Genomic DNA, 23,593 nt, shown 5'->3' with positions numbered 1-23,593 from the left:
AAATGTCTGTTTCTCAAGGAAAAATAAAAAACTGTCCATCCAATAGAAAGTAGTTATTATTGAAGCTTGAACACTGATACAAAGGGAATTTTTTAATTCAGAGAACATAAAATAAACATATTTAAAATAGAAAAAAAACTTGTTCTTGTACATATTGTTTTATCCTTTCCATCCTGGGTATAGGATAAAAGAAAATCCTTACTTGCTTGTTAGAGGAAGAAAGCTCTTACTTGAAGTTGCTACTTGGCAGATGTCAGTTGAAAGCTCTGCTTATGGAATATGCTGCAGTGTCAAACTCTGTTGGATAATTTTAGACAAATGTGTCATGTGTGACATGGAAATATGGCATGCTGTACATTAGTGATTTCCCAAGTGTTTGGATCAGGTAGTAATGTGCTGAGAAAGTGCTCTTTATCTATCCACACAGTGTACTTGTAGAGCAATGGGGAAATGCTTTTGGTGGAAATTACTTTAGTCAGAAAAAGAATCCATTTACAATATGTGCCTTCTAACATCTTTCAGACAATGCATTGTATTAAAGAGGCATTTTTTGATTAATGTTTTATAAACATTTTTCAGCATGACAGCTTAAAGTCCCTGTAAAATTGTAAATGCGTGCATAGTGTTCACTTCCATAAAGTCAAATGCCATCTCATAAAGTCTAGTTGAATCCTGTCAACCATGGTGACACAGAATCAGTACCTGGGAGCATTAAAATTAATTTGCTTCATTTATATTACCGCAGTGATAGCAAGATGAAAAGAGTCCTATATTTAAATTTTACTTTAAAAGGAAAACTCTTTCTAGTAAGTTTGTTTGGGTTTTTTAATTATTACTTTTTTTTTCTAATTAACAAATGTAGTAAAAATGGAGTGATAGTCTGCACAATAACTTTATGACAGAATCTGGAAAAATACAAGTTCATTCATTCAACACACTCCTTTTGACCACCTACCATATGCTCAACAATGAAGAAGAAACTGTTGCTGACCCTAAGAAGCTTACAGCTTGGTAAAGGAAATGCACAAGAAGCAGGCAATGATAATAAGGGTAGCGAAGGTGAGGCTGGAATGCCCTGGCGTAGGTAAGCATGGAGTGGAAAGGATCTAAAGGCCACCTTGGGACTCTGAGGATGGCTTCCCAGAGGAGGCAACCTAAGAACTGAGAGCTAAAGGATACAGAGGAGTTGGGTGGGTCATGAATGGGTGATGAGCATTCTAGGCAGAAAGAGCTCAGGTGCAAAGCCTAGGGGCAAGACAGAGAATGGCACGTGGCCAAGGATGGGTGGGAGGACCACAAGGTGCCCATCATGGCTGGAGCGCCCAGGTCAAAGAGCAGAGAAGTAGTGAGATTTAGAGTGAAAAAGAGCAAAAGCTTGGGGCAAGTCATGAAGTCCTCTTATGCTCTTATGCCACACTTAGGGATCTCTCCTGTGTGATACACTTCTGCGTGATGTGACACGATCAGATTTGCACTTTAGAATGTTCACTCTGGTCACAGAGTAGAAAATGGCTTGGACAGGACAACTCTGAAGGCAGAGAGACTGGTTCGAGACTGTGGAAGAGGTGCTCTTAAACGAAGGTGAGGGGGATGGAGGTGTGAGTGGTCACCCATGTGCCCAGTAAGTTATGGAAATGCAGGGTTAGGTCAAATCACGCTTCCCAGGATTCCTAGCCCTTCTACAGAGTACTTGATCAGTTACATGAGTTCTAATTGAATAAATCAGTGAGCAAGTGGATTAGTAAGCAAGTGAGTGATGAGGACAAAAGAGTGGTGCGTTACATAGTCTTCTGGAATAAGAGATGCAGCTGATTTTCTCTGATTTGATGTGAAGAGCAAATGTTGCCGAATTCTTGGCCAGCTGACAGAAATCACAGTGTGGTAAGTGCAGTGGCTTTTAGCAGGTTCTCAACCTCTCTCAACAATTGAGATGACCCCCAAGTTTCCAGTTGTTGTCCAGATAGTGCTGCTAACAGCAAAGATGCCTTAGAGAAGAGATATTGAGCTCACCACTTCCAAATGATCGCCACCATAGCATGGAAACTCGAACATGGGAAGTGTTAACTCTCACTCTGCTTATCCCAACTTCTCTTTCTATTCTGACCTTGGAGAAACTGAAGATGTACTAAGTAGATGCTTGGGATTGCAGGGAGGAGAAGTGGGGGAGAGGTTGAAAGAAAGCAAGGAAAGAAAAGGTTGAGATAAATAGATTTAGAAGAAACTCTAATAATTGAAAAGGAAAGTAGATAATTGAATGATTGAAAAGGAAAATTTTAAGTCCATAGAGCAGTGGGGGAAATGCTTTTGGTGGAAGTTAGTCAGAAAAAGAATCCATTTACAATATGGGCCTTCTAGCATCTTTCAGACATGCATTGTCTGAAATAAAATAAAGTTTCCTAAAACAAGTAACATATGACTCGAGTCGCTGGAGTGGGCCTCCCCCTGGCGAGTGATTGACTTGTGAATCCACCATGTGAGAGTGGCATAGAGAGGGTACATGAAAGAGACTTGGACCATGACCTCTGGGAGCTATTTTTTTCTCTGATATATTATTTTCAAACATATTTTTAACATTATTCACTTGTGGGGGTAGAGATAGGAAATTTGATTAATGACTAGCAAGAAGATATTGCAGGCACATAAAGTGGTAGGGGGAAATTCCTATTTAATTTGACAAATTTTGGCCGCAGCTGCAAGTGATCGTGGATCCCTTCTCTTTTTCAAGCAAAGGGAATGACTGTTATACAAGGCAGAGTAAGAAGAGGGCAACCAGGGTCCGTCAGGAAAGCAGAAATCACCCTTTGAATACAGGGAATTGATTAAATAGTGTTGGAAAGCTGAAAAGGGAAATGGCAACAGTGAGGGAACAAGACAAATAAATGCAGAAAGTAGCTGGAGCTGGGGGGGCAAAGGGAAGAAGTTAGAATTTTCAGAACCTAGAAGCTTGGAGAGAGGCAGCAGAGCAGGTTCTCAGACATCTGAGAAGGGGCACTGCCCCGCTGGTGCTGTGGCCCTCAGGGGCATGATGAGTTATAGGCTGGAGCCAAGTACCCCTGCACTGGTGAAGGGGCCTGGCAGGAAGCCCAGACTAGAAAGAAATTCCTCCTCCTCCTCCAGCCTTCCTCTGGGGCCCCTTGCAAGGAGCAGCTGACCAGAAGGACAGGTGTTTGCAGAGTCCCAGCTTCCTTGCAAGAGCAGTGGAGAGAAGGGTGTGTTTGAAGGAGAGAGATAAGAGCTGAAGAACCAGCAATGGCCGGAAGAGAACTTCCTAAAACTTGACATTAGGGTCCAAAGAAGGGAGAGATCATTTGTCCACCTTCAGCTTCTTGAGGATCAAAGCTATGTCTTTGAATCCATGGCTTCCTTGCCACTATTGGGGTAGCCCTAGCAGTTGCTTTTGACATATTTGAAATCACAGGGACGTCCTGGTGTGGCGAGCACGGGAGTTTGACACCATACTGCCCCTGGAAGTGCTTCTGGGAGGTCTTCAAGGAGAATGAGTTCCAAAAGGACAGCTGGACTTGAAAGTGTTTTGCATGCCAGGCCCTCTCCCTTTTCACAGCAGCTGCAGTGCCCATGGCATCTGGAACTGACCTTACCTGATATGGAGAACTGGAAATTCAGGTTGCCTGAGTCGCAGTTTAGAGCCTACCACTAAGAAATTTTCCTGACCACTAGGTGCTTCAGTTTCCTCATCAATAGAACTTTTTGTTTACTTATTGTAGCAGCAGCATCTGGGACTATCTCTATGGCTTCCCTTCTGAGATCACTTAAGCTTGCTGAAGACTGAATGACACAGAGCCCAGATTCTTAGCTAAGAATGGACAACATAGGTGGTTTAGCCCAGCAGCCTCAGTCCTCAAATCTGGGGTTAGCAAATCCTGCTCTGGTCATTTTTAGGGACAAAATATCATGATACTTCTATCACTTGCTCCCTTTAGCCTCACATTTACTCCACTCCCATCCCCCAATGTCTTAGCATCACCTCTTTGGGCCAAGGAATGAATAACGTTTCTTGGAAACAGGAGGAGTTGTGTTCAGATTTTATTTTCTCATTGTAACAGCTTTTCAAAACTATAGTATCAGATGCTGCTTTTCAGCAGTAGATTTTTAAAGCTTTTTTTTAAAAAAAGGCCCTTCATTTTTTATGTTAGTATAAAGACAGAAACTGCAAAAAATCTAAGCATGTACTTTAGAAGCTCTCAGAGACTATGTTTGGGAAGAGTTAAGTGTTTTCAGTTTATGGCAATGATATGTGAGGCTGTGAAAAAGAAAGTAACCATGAAACACATTTTGTGCATAAAGGTTTGAAATTTATTAGAAGGTAAAAATAATTGAAAAAGCTAAGCCTTCCTTGTTGTGTTCTAATAAAAAGTTATTTATGTGCCATCATTGTACATGGTTAGGAGCTTAGGTCCTTTTCAGAGGCTGTTATCAGAGAAACAAGAAAGCTAGGCTATTAAAGCTATTCAGTTGAAGAAGCTGATACATACATAGCACTTCTGAAGACTGTGGCTGCATTAAAACAATTAGTAATAATAGTTAGACTGCTAGTGTCTGAATTGTGTTAGTTATAGAAGCTCAAAAATTATGCTCTATAGGCAGCAGCTTATAAAATATACACACCCAGCTCTTGGTATAATAGAATAGTAGACTCATGAAGTAGTATTCATTTGAGTTCCATGAAGACATTCACTGTGGAGTTTAAACATTCAGCCCTGATTTTCGAGACAGGGTCTCACTCTGTCACCTAGGCTGGAGTGCAGTGATGCAATCTCAGCTCACTGCAACCTCCACCTCCCAGGTTCAAGCGATTCTTCTGCCTCAGCCTCCTGAGTAGCTGAGACTACAGGTGTGCACCACCATGCCTGGCTAATTTTTGTATTCATCTTCCATAGACCAATCTGTATGACCCTTACCTAATGATCGTAAAGCACTTTAAGATCCTTGGCTGAAAGGGAACATACAAATCCTTTAAGGTCCAGTTGACTAAAATGCCTTCCTACTTATAGCAGTGTATACCATACATGATCTTACCGTATTTTTTTACTCTCAAAAGCAAGCTTTGGGACTTTGAACTGGTGCCAAGCAGGCCTCCCTAAAGACCAACAGACTATCTCACTACTAAGCAAGAAGAGATCCATTTTTAGCATCTCCCTCACCAATATTTTTCAGCCTTCTTAAAGCAACTCCATCACACGCAATCTTCTCTCCTCTCCTTGTTAGATAAGCTTCTAATTTGCCGTGAGAATTATTGGTACCCTCGAATACTGACCATCTTTCCACCTTATCCTAGTTAGAACTTTATGTCATGAAAGAAAGATGGAAAGTTTTGGTGACCCATTTCAGACTTTCCCATTTCAGTTCTGTGAATAAACATGAGAAAATATGGTAATAACCTATTCCAAAGTTCTGATTTTGATGGAGTATGCATTTAATTTGATGACAGACTGAATTTGGTTTAGGTTTTCTGTCTTCTTTGTTCAACAGGAATTCCGATGCTGAAGATCGTGTTTGCAGGCCATGAGCATCTCTCTTTAATATCTGTACCCTTGCTCATCTACCACCCAGCTCAGATCCTTCTGGGAAGTGTGTTGGTGCCAACAATCAAGTCTTGGATGGTATCAAGGCAGAAGGTGAGTCCCCAGAAAGATCTTATTTGGATCCAAGTTAGATTAAAATGCTGTTCCTGAATCTGAACTGTTCATACACTTTCGATTTTGCTTGCATATCTTTGTTTTCAAGTACATATTTTCTTACTTAAATACAATAATAATGGTGCACTGATCCATTCCAATTTGAACAGGAGGGTTGAGGTTAAAGATTTTAAATTGTTATAAAAGACAATTATACTTAACATGCAGTTTTTACAAGCTCTTTTGAATTCATTCATATTGAAGGGCATATTATATGGGGTAAAGGTTCAGTAAATATACTCCAAATAGATACCTGCTCCACTCTGGTGCATACCATCTTTGCCTCAGTCTTTCATCTATGTCTTACTTCACATGCCTTTCCAAATAAGATAGAACCTGGCATTATCCAGGTTGCCTACTTTATTTTTAATTTTCCAGATATATAATAACCTATTTGTACAGCAAAACTGCATTTGGGCATTAAAAAATAAACTTTAAGTAGCTAAGAAGTCCATGCAATGTTAATTTCACCACACTTAGAATCTTGTACACATTAGATATTTGTGGATTTCATTTCCTAAATTATCAACAAAATAAGTAAACCAGGTGATTCACAAGAAGTTTAGATGGTGCATATCACGTGGTAGCATTGATAGAACTGACTCCTTCCCAGTGATTTGGACATACCAGGACTTATTTTTGTCTATTCACAAAGTAGTGACTGTTATCAGGAGATGTGTGGGAAGAAGAGGTATCCAATGACAAGTGCCCTGTGTCATGTTCTTAATATCCTGAAAATAGGATGGCCACAGTACCACCTATTGAGCACTGTGTGTGCTAAGCACATCCTATCCTCTACCTGGTTCAAAGGATGGATCTTGGGCCAGCCTGCCTGGGCTCAGAGCTCAGGCTGCTGGCCTTCTCATCCTGTAACCTGGGGCATACTTTACTTCTCTGTAGCTCAGTTTCTGCTGACTAATGATAATATCTACACCCTAGGGTTGTAGAGGATTACGTGATGAGTGTTTGATAATGCTAGCTGCCATAATTATTATCATCATTGTTCATCATTATCTACAATGATGTTCACTGCAGGCTTTGCTCTCTCCATTTTATGGGTTAGGAAATGGGCTCAGGGAGTTGAGCAGCTGGCCTGAGACCATAGGGTAGTTCAGCCAGTGCTGGAGTTAGGACCTGAACACTGGGCTATTTGACCCCCAAAATCTTTACCCAACACGGTGATGACACTCCAGATAGAAATGTAACATCACTTTTAGAAGGTTTGCCCTAGGCACCCAGGATCCTACCTGAGAAGTTCAGCCCATCCAACATGTTCACTAATTCAGTTATTTAACAAAATGTTAACATAAAAAAGATTCCTCTTCTATGCTGGGTACCACTCCAGGCTCTGAGCCTCCTACTCGGAGTTGGTTGTGGAACAGTTCAGTAACTTTTTCTTTCTTTTACTGTTTATCCCCTTTGAAATTTTCTATTTCTATTTATGCTTATGTTTATCAATATGTGTGCAATTGTCAGTCAGAATTTGTACATGTAAATTTTGACAAAGAATGAAGAAAATTATTTGAAAATCCTAATACTCATCAATATTATACAGCCATAGTGAACAGCAAATTAATCAGAGTGAATTTTTCTTCCAAACATTTAAAAGCTCTAGAATTTGTTCTGTAGAATAACAGAAGCATTTCCAAAAGGGAGACTAAATTGTACACTGTTGTTCATTTTTCCTTTGTGTAGAAACTACTCCAAACCAGGGGGCCACTGGCTAACTTGAATAATCCAGAAGGCTTGGAATATCTATCCATCAAATTTGGGCATTAAAATAAATACCAAGAGTCCATCCTCCAGGTATCCATGAGTGCCTCCTCTGCTTTGCACACAGTACTGATTGAGACCCAAGGCTACCATCTAGTGCACAGGGGAACCATACGAGTAGCCAGGCCAGGTGTGGGAGGGGAAATGACAAAGTCTGCTGGCCAGAGAGGTGGGCAGGGAAATCTGTTTGTATCCAGAGGTTTGGATTATTGGTTATATGATGCCATCTGGGTGGGCCTCTTCTTCCTTCTAATAGCATAAATTATCTGGTGTTAATTGATGCTTTCACTTTCCTCATGGATACTGTCCAACTCTGAACATGTTTTCCTTCCTTGTAGGGAGTGAAGCTGACAAGGCCGACAGTATAACAAAGGAGGTGGACTTTCTGTAGCAATGTATATATGTACAGGATTGTACATACTAGCAATTCTGAAGACTTGTACTTGTGAATGTTGCCTCAATGCATATTTTATTTTTTTACACAAAAATATGAGATCCTGTTTAAGTGCCTTAAAATGTATTTGACAAGAGCGTTATTTCCAAAATATGCTTTGTTGATTACTGCCAGGGGTGGTACAATATTTGGGGGTTAATTTTGCTTTCCTAATGCAGGAATCAGTCATGGTAAGTGACAAAAAGCAAACATGCTTTCCCTGCAGCACCTTTGTGCAATACAACCCTATAGTAGTTACTGTAATGTTTGAAATGAGGTCACACCATCAGGAAAATGCCCTTCTGATGACAGTGAAAATTTCCAAAGTCTTATTCATGCATACTTTGATTTACTGTGTGATTCTTTTTTTCTACGACTGTGACATGCCTCTTCCTTATCAACTCAGCAGGGGTCATAGATCGAATAGATGCTGAAAAGCGTAAGATATATGCATTCCTTGACATCATTTTTAAAGACATTCCTTCAAATAGTTTCCACACAGAAATTCCTCACTCCCATTATGAGAGATTGTGGTTATATGTCTTAAATTTATTATAAGCTGCTTCAAAGAAAGGGTCTGAATGTTTGAATTATGAGTGAAATCATGTGAAATTTTGAGTTAAACTCTGTGATTTGATTTTCAGGGTCTTTAAAATATATCTTAATATCTTCTTCCTCTTTATTCAATAATTTCTGTCTTGCACTTACACACTCATAACAGCCAAATATGAGGCACAAAAATGTTACAATCAGTTTGAAAGCAGCATCAATTAATGGTAGATTCTATTCACATTCCACAACCCAGACCAAATTTTTTTCCTATTACGCAGATGTGCTGAGCACTTTCCAGATTGCCCCTGTTGGCCAAAAGCAGCCTGTTACATCCTGGAATTAAGCACACTTAAGGTATTTGAGACAATTTATTAATGAAAATTTCCTTGGCAGATTTGACAAATGTTGGCAATATTTTTTTAGAAGTTAAATCATATTGCTTTCATGAATAAATGAAAATATAAAGGTCATGGATGCAAACAAATGTTACATATACACATTCTGTCTCTCCAGATGAAAAGAACATGCAAAACCATTTAATAACCAAAATATCAAGTAAAATTAGTTCCCAACGGGGCAGCAGCTTTCAAATGAGTGTCCAATATTTGCTTCTGCTATAGCTGCAAGAACTGTAACTGGACCCAAGTAGAGAATGAAGCCACGTATAGAACTACGAGAACACTTTTCTGTGTTTCCCCCATGCCGTCCTGTCACATCCTCTTACACGTCCTCTCTTGATTTGATAGACAATATTGGCATCCTGGGTCTCACTGAGGCCGTGCTATGTCCTCAGCAGCTGTTTTTGTTGTTTCGTTATTATGCCCACAACAAAAAATCATTCCTTAGAAACTCACCAAGTTTATCTACTGTGTAAATTTATATTATTGTTACTACCAGGTCTCATCTTTTGTCAATGTCATTGAATAAATTTCATAAGAGTTATTCTCAGTGTGAATTTTAAGGCTAATGCCAGATCCTGCAAAAATCTATGCTAACCAGGCTGTAGTACACACTGTTATAAAGAATTTTACTTGTGTCTAAAACTACAGTAATTTTGCTTAGGTAATTGTGCTTACCTATGGAGCACAGGAAGGCTCTTAGGTTTTGTTCCTACAAGTTTCTTTGAATTTTGGAGTAAATGGAAGTGTCTGTCTGTCTGTCATCTATCTGCCCTATCATAAAAATCTTTCTCCCTAACATTAAAATACTGATCCCCGCCCCCAACTTATCTACCTCTATTGTCTAACACCTATAGTAGGTGTGATCATGGGATAAAATTCAACTGAAAATGCTATGATAACATTTTATCGTTTGCTTTAAAAATGTGCTTTGTTTTCAAATAATCTTTACATAGTGAACTTTGGTGGCGTTAGTGATATGTTTATGCCTATTTCTTTTTTTTACACAAATTCCTTGGCATATTTTTTCATAAAGAACAAAAAATAAAATCAAAATTTATTTTTAATTCATGCTTATTGGGATTTAATTATTCAGAGCTTAAAATATTTTGTTATGTTTATACACTGTAAAGCTATCTGTTTTATGCATTTGTTTTGTCTAAATGTATTTATGAAAGAAATACATTAGATTATATTTATGTTTACTCATTTTTCCACCTGGATTTTTTTTAATGGTTGTTACAAAATTAGATTTTTTAATGGGTAATAATGTTGGTATTTTCATGTTTTTTCTTAGTATTAAAATTTTTGTGGGTTTTTTAAAATTTTTCCCTATTCTGTTAAAAATTAACACACCTCTAGCTAATGTTCAGTGTTTGTGCTAAATACCAAATTTTTTCAAAAGGATTGGTTAAGTCATAAAGTGGATTATTTATGATGACTGGAAGATGAAAATAATTATATGATTAAACAAAGAATGTTTCAGAAATCACAAGAGAAACTGTGGCTTATTTTTAACCTGATTTCAGATGGCCTTGTGATGCCTTCTAAGTGTCTTTAGATTTCTCTTGATTCATTTCTGCACCGTTATGTCATTTGTCGTTATATAGATGTAAACTTCATAGTCTCCCGGGTATTTCTATGGGTACCTCCACCACACCATGATGTTAAAATCTAGAGGTAGCCCTTGCCTTTTTATGAGAGATATTTTCTCTGCATCAAGGTTTAGGACCAAAAGGAAAACATATGCAGCAGAAGGGACAAAATGTAAGTGATCTGAATTTCAGTTTTGAGAAATAGGAATGATAAACCTTAGAATGCCATTCCCAACACCAGTGTTTCTTTGATGAGCAAGCTACCTTGTATAGAATTTCATACCTTTGTGTTCTTGTCTTTGCTGTCTTCTTGGCATAGAAATCCTCTTCCCCTGGAAGCCTGACAAAAATGTCACCTCCTCCATGAAGACTTCCCAAGCCAGTGCCATACTTGCGTCCTTTGACATGTCCTTACAACGTGTCCCTCAAGTCTTCTGAAACCTCTGCATAGTTTAATCATTAGTTTATATTGCTGTCTCCTCCAGTGCAGTAAACATTTCTGTTTTTCTACTGTGCCTCGCACAATGCCTGGCTCAAAGTAGTAGCCAAAAAATGTGTATTGACTTTTCAAATTGTGATCTTAATAGGTAGGACATGAACCTTCACAATTACAAGCACTCTTCTCTATATCGGGTCATTATTAATTTATAAGGAAAACTGACTCTTTTACTACAATTCCTATTGTGAATAAACTGTGAAGCACTGCCTTGTGCTCCTCATAGGAATATATTACTTCATAGCTGTGTAAATATTAACTCTCCAAGGCAAGACTGCAGGTATGATATGCAAGCAACTTTCATCTTGCATGCCTTGACAGAACAATAGACCCTCAGTAATTTAAGCTAAATCAAGTTAGATCGATCTGAATTGATGAAAGCTTTATATACATAAAAAATAAAAGATTTCCTTATAGAAATTCTGATGTACTTACTTTAAAAACTAGATAAAAATTATCATCGTCAGTTTGTATACAGGCAATATATGAAAGGTCTTATAAGACTTTCTTTAACAAATCTTAGTTGCACTATAGGACAGTTTTTCTCAAATGTGAGTAAAATGCAAAACCCATTTAAAGGGAAAAAAATTTTGTAGACTCTGGAGAACTTCTCTTCAAACCTGATTATGAGAAACTCTGTATTAAACATTGAACACTGTCACTCTAGCAGGGTGCGGTGTGGTTGTCAACACGAGTGCAAACAAAGGCACTGAAATCACAGGGTCATGCTGGATCATAGGGTCCTCATCCAAATCACCTGAAACGGGCTCTCCCAGATCTCCACCCACTTCTGAACTCTCCGGCATCTCAAACGCCATGGCTGTTCTCTTCTGTGAACTTCATCCACCCAGACATGGAATTCAGCTCCAGTTACTTGATCACTACAGAAGTCTCAACACACTGAAAGTCTGGGGATGTACAAACTTTTTTCTTTTTTTCTTGATATGGAGTCTCGCTCTTGTCACCCAGGCTGGAGTGCAGAGGCGTGATCTCAGCTCATTGCAACCTCTGCCTCCCAGGTTCAAGCGATCTCCTGCCTCAGCCTCCCAAGTAGCTGGGATTACAGGCACTTGCCACCAAGCCTGGCTAAGTTTTTGTATTTTTAGTAGAGATGGGATTTCATCATGTTGCCCAGGCCAGTCTCGAACTTCTGAGCTCAGGCACTCTGCCCACCTCGGCCTCCCAAAGTGCTAGGTTTATAGGCATGAGCCACCACGCCCGGCCTGGGGATGTGCAAACTTAAATGACTACTGTACATCCTGTTCCTGCCCATCTGCCAGCCACCAGCCATCTGGAATTTCTCACTGACCACCCCTCCCTCCCCAAAGGCTCCATCTACCTGCCCTGTTACCTGCTCTCCCCGCCCACCTCCCTTCTTTTCTCTTCTCTCCCCAATCCCAAAATTCACAGAAATGCAGCTAGCTCTGTTCATTCTCTAACTTTCCAAATGTGCCCTAAGATCTACTTGCAATGGCCATGGGAAGCTTTAAAAAGCCATATTCCCCGAGATGGCTATATAACCTGACAAGCATCATCACTTCTACTTCCCTCTCATTTAGGTGAGCTCACATTTCTGAACTTGGAATGAGGCAATATGAGGATTCAGGTATGTCCTGGAAAAGCTGTTCCCTAAATGTCAGGGAGAGAGAAGGGAGTATTTGACTTTTAAGTACAGTAGAAAACAAGCAAATGATATAAATGGCTAATTTATAGAAGACAAAATAAAAACGAATAATAGACATTTTAGAATATTCAAACTTACCATGGATCAGGGAAATGTACATTTAAATGAGATACTATTTTTCACCCATGAAAAAGATTGACAAAAAGTTTAAAGTTTCATAATATTCAAATACTGACAGAGTGTGGGGCAGGGCACTTCTGCCCTGTAGTGGGAGTGTAAATGAGATGGAATTTGTGGTGGGCTATTTAACACTACTATCCAAAGCTTAAATATATGTGCCCTTCAACCCAACTCTTGCATTTCTGGGAGTCTACCCTGCAGAAATAAGTGCACAAGAGTCCACTGACAAGGATGTGTTCGGAGTATTGGTAAGACCACAAAGAACACCCAAATTCCCCGAATCAGGGAAGCGTTTAAATAATCAATGGTGCCTTCTTTAGAACATTTGGACCAATTTAAAGGAGTGAGGGTAGACTGCCTTGGAATAGCAGTATTTTGTTGAGGGGGAGGAAAAAGTACATTTCAGGAAAAAATATGCATTTTTGATCCTATTTTTACAGATCCGATATTTTCATTAACTAAAATGTTACATATCTGTAGGGACACTACATGCTTAAAAAACATTTGGAAGGATAATTATAACTACCATTTATTGAGCTCTTCCTTTATCCCTAGTACTTTTCCAGGCACTGAACATTATCTCATTTTACCCTCACCAACCTTATGACGTAGGTAATATTAACCCTGTTTTATAGATGACAAGACTGAATCACAGACTAAGTAGCTTGCCCAAAGCCACAAAATTATTAAGTAGGAGCATTTTAACCATTTTTAGACTATATTTCACAGTGTTTACTTCAAGGAAGTAGAAATGCAGAGGTGGTGTATAATTTTACATTTTACTTTGATCACATTTTGGAGGGCTTATAATAAGCATGTAACACAAACTGGTGCGACCTGTCCTTCTTCTTGAGGGAACAGCATAAGTCATGTCTAGGCTATTGGACGTTTGTCAAGAAAAACCTCTTTTTCATCATGAGAAAGAAAGAGGAAGGCTTAAGCACAACCTAGGTGGGTGAAGGCAAGACAAGAATCAAATTGTTCTACAAAGTGATGTGAGGGGAACTTGGGGTGAGAGTAGACAGCACGGAAAGAAGGGCTGAGACGTTCAAGAATGGAGAGAAGAGAAGAAAAAAGAGAAATAGAAGCTTTTAGCAGTAGACTTTTTAGCAGTATGGCTGAAGACTGAGGAGGAAAGACACAGAAATGTCTGATGGCAGTAATGGCAAGGGCCTCCTGAAGACAGCGACTAAATACATCAATACACGCAGAGCATTTAGGAGCAGGCCTGGCACATACTTAGTGACCTGTGTGAGTGGTGACGGTGGTGGCAATGGCAGTGGTTGCTATCAGCAGCAGCATTGTTAGTTTAAGTTATTTGCACTTTTTGCAGTTCTAAAACACGTGTGTCCCCTCCCTTCCTCCCCACTCAAAAAAAAAAAAAAAAACTTTAGTGAAAATCTGCCTTACATCAGAGCTTTTTGTTCATTTGGGAGAAAATGAAGTAAAACGTTCAGCATCCACCAAGAGGGTATATAGAGGACAGGAAGCAAGCATTCCAGTAATAAAGACACCAAGTCATAGGCAGGAATTCTGTGCATGAGATGATCAGAAGAATGGAAGCTCCTGGAAATCTTGGGGAGAGAATACTTCCCACAGAACATGGAATTCATTCTCAAACCATTACATCCAAATATAAGTTAATACATATTCAGATGGAATGGGGGATTGTAACGATAGTTGCTACAATTCATACTAGTTGCTCTGATTTGCAGCACTTGCCAATTGCTGGAGTATAAATGCTCCTGACTGGGCTGGTTTCAAGCTACCAGCACCGAAGGCAGAGTTAGGAAGAGATGTGCACCATTGGCTCTCACAAGCTGGTACAGCCAACCCCAGCATACCTCTACACGACAGGCCAGTACTAAATTTTTTACTCGAATTTTTCATTTAATTCTTTCAACAACCCTAGTAGGATACGTACCATTATTATCTGCATTGAACAGGTAAGGAAACTGAGACCAAACAGTAAGCAGGGAATGCAAGCCTCACAACTCTTTTAGTGGTGGAGTTGGGATTCAAATTCAACTTTTCCTGACTCCAAGAGCCCACATGTCTAACCACTAAGTAGACTCCATGACAGCCCAAAAACCTCATAGTTCTTGGAAGATCTTGTTTTCTCATGTGCTAAAATTCTGGAAAGTCGCAATGATTCTGAACTTCTTGAGCTCTGCAAAGGCTGGAGTGCAGTGGCGCAATCTCTGCTCACTGCAAGCTGCCCCTCCCGGGTTCATGTCATTCTCCTGCCTCAGCCTCCCGAGTAGCTGGGACTACAGGCACCCGCCACCGCGCCCGGCTAATTTTTTGTATTTTTAGTAGAGACGGGGTTTCACCGTGTTAGCCAGGATGGTCTCAATTTCCTGACCTCGTGATCCGCCCGCCTCGGCCTCCCAAAGTGCTGGGATTACAGGCGTGAGCCGCTGCGCCCGGCCCTCAATGAAAGTTTTAATACAGGATGTTCTGTCTTCATGTGGAGTGAGTCAAAAGCCCTACAACTCAGAAATTCCAGACAGTTGGAAGGAAAGAGCCTTGGGTTTCTGACATATATACCAGGTCTCAGAGTTCACTGGTAGTAAAAGACAACATGATGAGGAAATGGACCCTGCCCTCCACCCTAGAAATGGGTCATTTCCTTATTATCTGCTATTCTAAACTTGAAATTTTTGTAACGATGTTGACTTGTGCTCATTGCTGGAAGTCTGGACTCTGATTCTGTGTGCTCACAGAGAGCACTGCTGTCAGTGTGGTCTCCTGGGCTGGTTTTGCCAACATGGCTAGAACTTACTCAGTTTCTTTTCCACAAATAAATGTTTACCAAGACTTCCAACTCTGGGCCCCACTGCTATTGTTGTCTCATGTGTGGTGCATTCTGACAATCCCCCTCCCTCTTAGCAGCTAATCTGTCCACGCCTGAGAAGTCTTGTGCATGCTGAAGAAGAAGCAAACTGTCACTTGAAGAGTTCACTTATCTTCTTATGAAGCCAATGTGAGAATTATGTAACATCATAGGGTTGTTATTAGGGTCGAATGAGATAATTCCAGCAAACAGCTTGTTACCGTGCCTGGCAAGAACTCAATGAGTGCCAGCTATGATTGTTATTCAACAATGGATGGGCAAACCATATTGGGTGTGTGGAGTCGAAGTGTGTTGGCACATGTCAGGCTCTATTCTGCATGACTTCTAATCTATGCAAAAGATCTATTATGGTGCCCATTAAACATTACTAATCAAGTCAGGAAGTGACCAAGGTGTGAGTGTCTACTTCATTAGTTAATGAAGACACTGGATTCTGGATTTTAAGATGGCTGTAGCAACAGGCCTCCCTGGCTTCCAGCAGGCCTCCCCAAGAACACAAAGGGGCAAGTGCGTATTGAAAGGTCCTCCAGGCCCACTGTTGCTGCTTGCCTTTTCCTACCTACTGCAAAGAACACCAAGTAGAGATTTTGCCCAACTCCTCCAAATGCGCTGAGTCCAGCTGAGAACCATCTGGCAATGCGGCTGACAGACAGAGCTACCCTCATTGACTCCAATTGCCTAACACCTGTCAGAGAGGAGCTCCAACTCTGGGGCTGCTCCTAGGGCAGTTGCTTGGTGGTCACGGCCCTCCCAGAGGGCTGCACCTCCTGCTCTAATTGTGTCCAAGATGAATTGTCACCTTTCCACTCCATCAGTTGCCACCATAACCCAGGAGTGGCTGGCTGTACCCTTCCAGGCCCCCTTTTCTACTAACCCTTTTAGTGTTCCCATTTCCAGAAAATCGGGTCTCAGATCCTTCTTCCCATACCCTGTGTTCTCCCAATGGGAACATCTGAGCCATTTGCATATGTCAGCCACTTTCTGTAAACCGGCAAGACCTCCCAAATCTGTTGCCCTGAGCTCATATTTTTAATTGCATTCCGAATGTTCCCACTTGGGCATCTTCAGGCACCTCTAACCCCACATGCCCTGAGTGAAAATTCAATAACTTCTTTCTTTCCCTATGTTCCATCCTCTCCACCAGCTTCCTCTGTAGGCATAGCAACCACATGGCTCTCCTCCCCCTCAACCTTCACATCCCACTTTTTACATCCAGTTAGTCACCAAATTCTATTGATTCCATCTGCAAAACCCCTTTTTCCTCTACATCTTCTGCTTCCCACTACCACCTTCTTAAAAATACCTTTCCCAGCTATTCTTTTTTCCTGCAGTGTTGCCCCTGTCCAATTCATGAAGCCCTTTGCTGACAGTTATCAATCACCTACTATGTGCCAGGCACTCTGATAAATGCTTTACCCATTTAATCCTTACAGCAATTTTTGACATTGGTGTAATTATTCCCATTTTACAGCTTAGGATGTGGAGGGCCCATGAGACTAGGTTCCAAGTCCCACAGCTTATAAGCGGGAAAGCCTAGATTCCAGCTGGGTCTCTGATGTGGTCAACACCTGTGCTTCCCTTCATTTTACCTCTGCTCTAATTCCCAGGCTCTCTCAATGCTTCCCACCATCGTGAGACACAGGCCTTCATTTTCAAATGACAACTGAATTTCTTCACTTGCTATTGATATCACTTATCAGATTGTACCAGGTTTTCTTTGTCAACATGTCTCTTCCCCTCTAAATGATTAATTTCTTCAATGGGAGCCTCATTTTGCTTATGTCTATAACCCTGATAGAACACTTGTCTGCTAGGAGGAACTTCAATAAATGTTTAATAATGAGTTAACCCTTAAGGCCCTCCAGTTTGCTTTTCTGATTCTGGAGGACAGATATTTTCCACCTGTGAAGCACTGCTTTTGGAGAGTGGTGTGTGACTCTTAATTATCATTCAGTGAACGGGGGTCATCATGTTAATCATCTATGGATGCCCCTGAAAGGGACTCTTTTTTCATGAAAACTATCAGTATGAATAATGATGACAATTTCAACACCAGAATAGTTGACACCTGGAGAATCTAAACTCAGTATTACTCCAGACCCACACTCCTGGTGGCCTTTGCATGGGAGCCGTCTGGCTGGCCGACAGGCTGCACAGATCCTGAGAGGGTCAGGCCCTGGCTTCACAGGAGCACATGGCTTTTGGCTACACGCTAATCACACTGCAGTCCCACCGTCCCGTTCTTCTTCCACCTTTCATTTTCCATTCCCTAAGACACTAATGCATCTTCTGCTTGCCCAGGGACATCAATCACTTAGCCCCAGTGCTAAGTCAGGATCTAACCAAACTTCAGCTGCATGAGGAGAAAGCATGGGCAGATGTGAGAGAGAGTCCTGGGCTGGGAGTAACAAGGTACAGGCAGCCAGTTATTGTAAAGGGAGCCCTACATCAGGCCCTTTTACGTCTGGGTCACGGGTTCAAATCCAGCCAGGCCTCGCCTGACAGAAAATCATTACCAACTCTGTGTCAGGCTGCTTGACAGATGGGAAATGAGTTTCTGTCTCCATCCAGCAGGCAAGTGTCCACATCACACTTGGCACTAAGCAGATCTCGACTCTGTGGAGACAGAGAAGTCGTGCAAAAGTCACACAGTGTCAGGCAGGTCTCCAAGGTCGGGCTGAGTCCACATTTTGGCATCTCTGTGTGTGGGTCTGACAGCTCCCTTATCTCACCCCTTTCATGAGCACTTTATTAATCAGCCAGTTTTGGGGTTTTTTTCCCCCTTCTGAAGACATTGTTTAACAAGCAGTTTGAGGTAATGGAACAACTGAGAATATCTCATTCTGCAGCATTGAAATAAGGTCAGCCAAAATCATAACAGAAAAATATCTACAGCGAACATTTTTATCCTTGGCCCTAAATTGGGTTCAATCACTTAAGTGCCTCAAAATTTTCAACACTGTAATAATAAAGGAAACTACTTTCCAAAGGAACCTTCGGGGCAGAGTCCACCTCACCTTTCCAGTCCTTCCACCCAGTACCCCACAGTAACTCAGTCCTTCCTAGAGATGCCCAAAGGCACAGGGTTGGACTTGCAGACTGCAGGGAGTGGTAGCTCACACATGGATCTGATTCCTCAATAAACAACCTCCCTCCCAGAAGGGCCACAATGATATGGCCCTTTGCTGATATTTGCTGATATGGCAAGATAAGGACGGCTTGGCTCTGGACAGCTGATCTCATAGTGCTCTGACCAAGAGCACTCATGTGAGGAGGGCCAGCCTATTCATGCCAACAGTCGCCTGCCTGGTCCTGGAGTGTCCTGTCATGCTGCTCATCTCAGACTCCACAGTGATGCCTTGACTGAGCTCACTCCTTTACAGTCCAGAGAAACCTCAGCTGGGCAGGGCTGGGCTGGGCTGTGTTGCTGGCTATGTCCACACAGAAAGCTCGGGCTACTGAACAGGGTAGGCAGGGCAGGGCAGACTGACCTTCACCAAAAAACTCTTCAAATGAGACACATTAGGGACCTCTCTCTTCTTCCCTCCTAGAACCATCTAAGCCACCAATCTGAAGGCACTGCAAGTTTAAAAAGACCCTTCTTTCCTTCCTGTGCACCCACATCCTCAGAAAAGTATCTTCCAAACACTTACAGGGTACATTTTTTTCTTACCATAACCCCCCAGTGGGAGGAACTCAGCCACCTCTGGGTTGTTCTAGCAAATCCAGAGCATGGTTTTATTCAGCTCCACATTTCCGAACTCCCTCCCCTTCCCTGGGGCCGTGACACCTGACAGCACTCTGCAATTTCATTCTTGGCCCTTGGAGAATTTCATCATCAGAGGTGTCCTACGTAATTCCTCAGGGGAATTGCTGCAGAATGCCCCATCCTGGATCATTCCAGAAACATTCAGTCCTCCCGAGGGTCTCTGGGTCTAGACAGCCAAGCCCACTCATCAGTTTGGGTCCGTCCCCAGGGAGTTTGCAGTCCAGGGATTCCCTTGATCAGCACGGGACCGCCTGCATCTTCCCCTTTGCTGAGTACAGTGGGCAGAATAGTGGACAGGCCCTGAGGGTGTAGTGGTGGTTCCCACAGCTCTTGCGGGTACCTGGCTTGTGGGAAGCTGGCGGAGGTGTGTGGTGGAAACTTCTAAGCAATCCCTAGGAGTGAAGAGTCAGCTCAGGGAGCTCACTGTCATGTTTCTGTCTCGGGGATACCGCTTTTCTCCTCCTGTCTCTACCCACTACGCTGTGCTGGTTAGGATGGGAGCCAGTGGTCCCCTGACCTGAGCTCCATCCCACACCCTGTATAGATGAACTGAGCACGGGGGCCGCACAGAAGGGCTCCCAGGAGCACTGGCAGCAGGGCCAGGGCCTCTGCTCCTGCCTGTCTCCCCTCCCCAGCTTTCTTACTGCCCTCCTCAGGGTTTTCTGAAGCAATCTGGCAAAAGAAGTCCGCAAATTCCCCGGATGCATCTTTTCTGTTCCCACCCTCTGGCCAACACACTGGTATTATTAAAGAGAGACAACCCCTATTGTATCTGCTGCTGTTCACATCCACCAGACGTTTTGAATACAGATTCCCCGCGCAGTGAGTGTCATGGACGAGGCTCCGCATCCGCATGCGCAGCCACTGGTCCAGCATATGGCGCCACTTCCGCTGACAGGTCGAGCAGGAGCAGCCCCGTGCTCATTGAGAAAAACCCAGAACGGAGTCCAGTAAGAGGAGCGGTCTGCAGGGCACAGCTTGTGGCTCCCCTGCTGTTTGCCTGTCCCACGTTCTCTGCTGCCTTAGCCTTGAGGCCACAGAGGACCTCTTCAGGGCTCCTCCGGGTACACCTGGCTTCTCCCAAAGAGCCCTCTGTCTGCTTTGAGATGCAGCATCTAGGCTCACCCTAGACAGAGCAAAAGGGAACAAGCCGCCCGCGCACATTTCCTGAACACACAGAAGGCTTCTGAGAGTTGCTTCTCTGCTCACACGTGGGCGTGCACAGAAGGGATGCCCCCCAAGAGGGGCGGGGCGGAGAGGCAGGCTGAGGTCTGAGCGCCGGAGACCGCCCTGGCCTTCTGGAAGGCCCTGCTGCTCCCAGGGAGGGCGCCCCCTACTGGCCCAGCCCAGCACAGAGCAGCCCCTGCTACCCCGAGACCCCCACGCGTGCAAGAGGTGGCAGCTGCCTTCGCGCTCTCCAGCTTCCTCTTCTAGCTGAGCTTCTGCAAGAATGAGTAGTTCCAAGGGAAGCCAAAGGGCTTGCCTTGACATTTACAGAGCCTGTTTCCGAGGAAATGCAAGACGCAGCATCCTGTTCACACCGAGCCGCGAGTCCAGCGCACAGCAGATGCTCAGTAAAACGTGATGTAGGAGAGGTGAACTGATTGTAGCCCCAGCCCCACCGCCAGTGCTGTGGGACCCTGTTGGAATCCCTCCTCCTTCCTGGGTCTTGGTGTCCTTCTCTACAATGGGGCTGATGATGATGACACCTACACAGGGCTGTTTCCAGGATGTAATGAGGTCACTCACATGACTCAGTGATATAAACTCTAAAGGGTGACACAAATGTCAGAGATAGGAAAGTTGAGTGCTGTGTATCAAACATGCTCCAGAAATAAGGTTGTCGTGGCTACAAAGTAGTTATAATTTCTCTGTTGACATTTTTCTATTCATCAAGTAAGAAATCCAAGTTGTAGGAATTATCTCTCCTTCCCACCACCACCAATGGAACTCAGTATATCTATTTTCTTCTTGGGTGAAAAAATATATATATATATTTTTTTTTTGAGACTGAGTCTCGCTGTCGCCCAGGCTGGAGTGCAGTGGCGCAATCTCGGGTCACTGCAGGCTCCGCCCCCCGGGTTCACGCCATTCTCCTGCCTCAGCCTCCCGAAATATATATATATATTCCCCCCCCCCCTCAAATTGGGCTGTGTGGAAAAAAAAAAAAAAAAAAAAAAGAAGGCGGGGGGAGTGCTTACCACTGCCCCAGACAACCCTGGCTGCACAAAATGTGCCGTATCCTTCCAGCGCCAAGACTTGGCCTGTCTTATTTACACTTATTTACATATCGAGTGAGATCTCCATGGCTGCCTGCCTGGAAGGCCTATTTTTAATTGTGTACTCCCCAGCCACCCCTCTGACCCTTCCTGGCTCTTTTCTGAGGATTTCCGGCCACTGCTAGCTTGTGAGGGAAGAGCAGAAGATGGGACTCCACGGAGAGGATCTCAGCCAAGGCCGAATTTAAACCAGGGGTCCCTAGATCAGGACCCCGCATTCCTTTCCAAGGTGCCTCTCCTTGCCCACTAGGGCTGGCCCGAGGCGGGTGTGGGAAGGCGGGGATCTGGGCGCCCAGGCCAGCTTCACAGCTTGGGCAGCCCGCTGCATCCCATGTGGACAAAGGGATGGAGACGAGGGAAGCAGCTGCCTTCATGCTCCCCGGCTTCCTTCTGGAAGAATGAGGAATCGTTCCAAGTGGAGCCAAAGAGCTTGCCCTAAATTTTACATGGGCTTTTGTTTGTTTGTTCCTTTTAAAAACAGAAACATTTCCTAGACATAGCAATAAAATATGTATCTATAAACATTTTCCAAGACTGCCCTCTAGTGGAAATCTGGAGGCAGCAGCACATCTTACAAATCAGTGCCTTAGATTCCAAACTTCTGCATAAAGTAAGCACTTACCAGTGAGACCTCCTTCACACGTGATCTGAAAGCATATCGCATTTCTTCCACAGGACCCTAAAATGTCGCATGCCTTGACTGGAAATGAAGGCTGCCATACGTCTTTAAAAAGAAATCATGGTTTACATTTAGAACTGAAATCATAATGTTATGTGTACGATATTTTAAAACTATAAGTGCAGGGAAGTGTGTCGAATAGAACAATGGAAGAGAGCCGTTGGTTGTATCCTAGGCTGTGCATGTGTTACTGGCCAAGTGCTTTTATTTTGGCTGAGGAAGGAGCCAAGGCTGCAATAACATCCAGCCCTAAAGGCCACACACACTGCTGGGTTTTTACCTTGGAGGATGTGGGACAATGAGTCATTTGTGCCTCTTCCTGGTTCTTCCTGGCCAAGGTCAGCTTTCCCACTGGAACCAAGCAGCTTGGCCCAGGGCCCGAGCCGTCTGGAGCCTTTCAGTGGTGCAGAGCCCAGGGAGAGGGTGTGGCCCCACCCCACTCCCCCCCGGATGGCCCCAGTTCAGGCTCTGAGGCAGCCCTTGTCCACATCATAAAACATTCACTCTGCTCAGTTTGACATAAAGGGCCTCCTGGTGGAGGCCTGGTGAAATCGGCCATCCTTAATAAAGGTTCCCAGGCAGAATTCTGTGAGGAGGAAACTTGAAAGGCTTCTGATCATTATCATCCTTTCTGGTGAGCTTTGCAAAGATGACAAAGTTGTGTCTGTTTATGCTGGTTCTGATACTGTGTAAACCACTGCCACTACTAGTAGTAATTAAGTAACGACCATTCATTTATGTGTCCATTCAACAAATACATTTTGAGCACCTGCTCTGTAGCAGGCATTGCTCTAGACTCTGGCCACCCAGAGAGACAAGATTCCTAACCTCATGGAAATTACAGTCTAGTGAAAAAGTAGACAATATACAAATAATGTATCGTTTCAGGGACTATAAAGGAAAATAATATAATGAATAACAAGGGGATACCTATTTAGATAAAGTATTGAGGCAGAGTTTTCTGAAAAGTTACATTTAAGCAGCTACCATGTGCCAGATATTTACTATATTAGAGGTTAAGTATACAAAGATAAAGAAAATACCATCTGTCCTTTCAAAGACTTCAGAGCCCAATAGAAATAATAATTTCACAAGATTTCAAACAGCTGAGCTTCTAAGATCTACTGCTCACAACAAATCTGCCAAGTAAATAATGTCATCCCCATTTTATAGATGTGAAAAATGAGTGTAAAGGATATGAAAGTACTTGCCAAAAGTTGTTGAATTTGCTGGATGGCTCACTCCTGTAATCCCAGCACTTT

General features: G+C 42.8%; 1 protein-coding gene across 10 annotated transcripts in view, besides 2 other annotated features; it reads left to right on the top strand.

The window, feature by feature from the left end:
• The window catches only part of SLC10A7 (solute carrier family 10 member 7), a 267,960-nt gene extending 257,613 nt beyond the window's left edge, over positions 1-10,347 (top strand). For 4 of the 10 annotated variants that reach the window (XM_011532311.3, NM_001300842.3, XM_011532313.3 and 1 more), the window contains 3 exons: positions 5,491-5,636; positions 7,392-7,502; positions 7,808-10,347. In XM_011532311.3, the coding sequence (XP_011530613.1) occupies positions 5,491-5,636; positions 7,392-7,475 (230 nt within the window). In that variant the 3' untranslated portion in view covers positions 7,476-7,502; positions 7,808-10,347. The remainder of the gene's footprint in view (positions 1-5,490; positions 5,637-7,391; positions 7,503-7,807) is intronic. The other 6 variants (NR_133924.2, NM_001317816.2, NM_001029998.6 and 3 more) reach the window with 3 other exon arrangements.
• Positions 22,037-22,331: a silencer, noted in NCBI's record as "tiled region #13307; K562 Repressive DNase matched - State 12:CtcfO". NCBI's record gives its function as "represses a minimal TATA promoter and a strong SV40 promoter by Sharpr-MPRA in K562 cells {active_cell/tissue: K562}" and the evidence as "EXISTENCE:reporter gene assay evidence [ECO:0000049][PMID:27701403]".
• Positions 22,337-23,253: an enhancer, noted in NCBI's record as "H3K4me1 hESC enhancer chr4:147162227-147163143 (GRCh37/hg19 assembly coordinates)". NCBI's record gives its function as "activates a minimal SCP1, AML or CMV promoter by ChIP-STARR-seq in primed H9 embryonic stem cells {active_cell/tissue: H9 hESC(primed)}" and the evidence as "EXISTENCE:reporter gene assay evidence [ECO:0000049][PMID:30033119]".

The sequence above is a fragment of the Homo sapiens genome, chromosome 4 (genome assembly GCF_000001405.40).
Source record: "Homo sapiens chromosome 4, GRCh38.p14 Primary Assembly".
Classification (NCBI taxonomy): Eukaryota; Metazoa; Chordata; class Mammalia; order Primates; family Hominidae; genus Homo; species Homo sapiens.
This window is presented reverse-complemented; position numbering and strand designations above follow the sequence as displayed.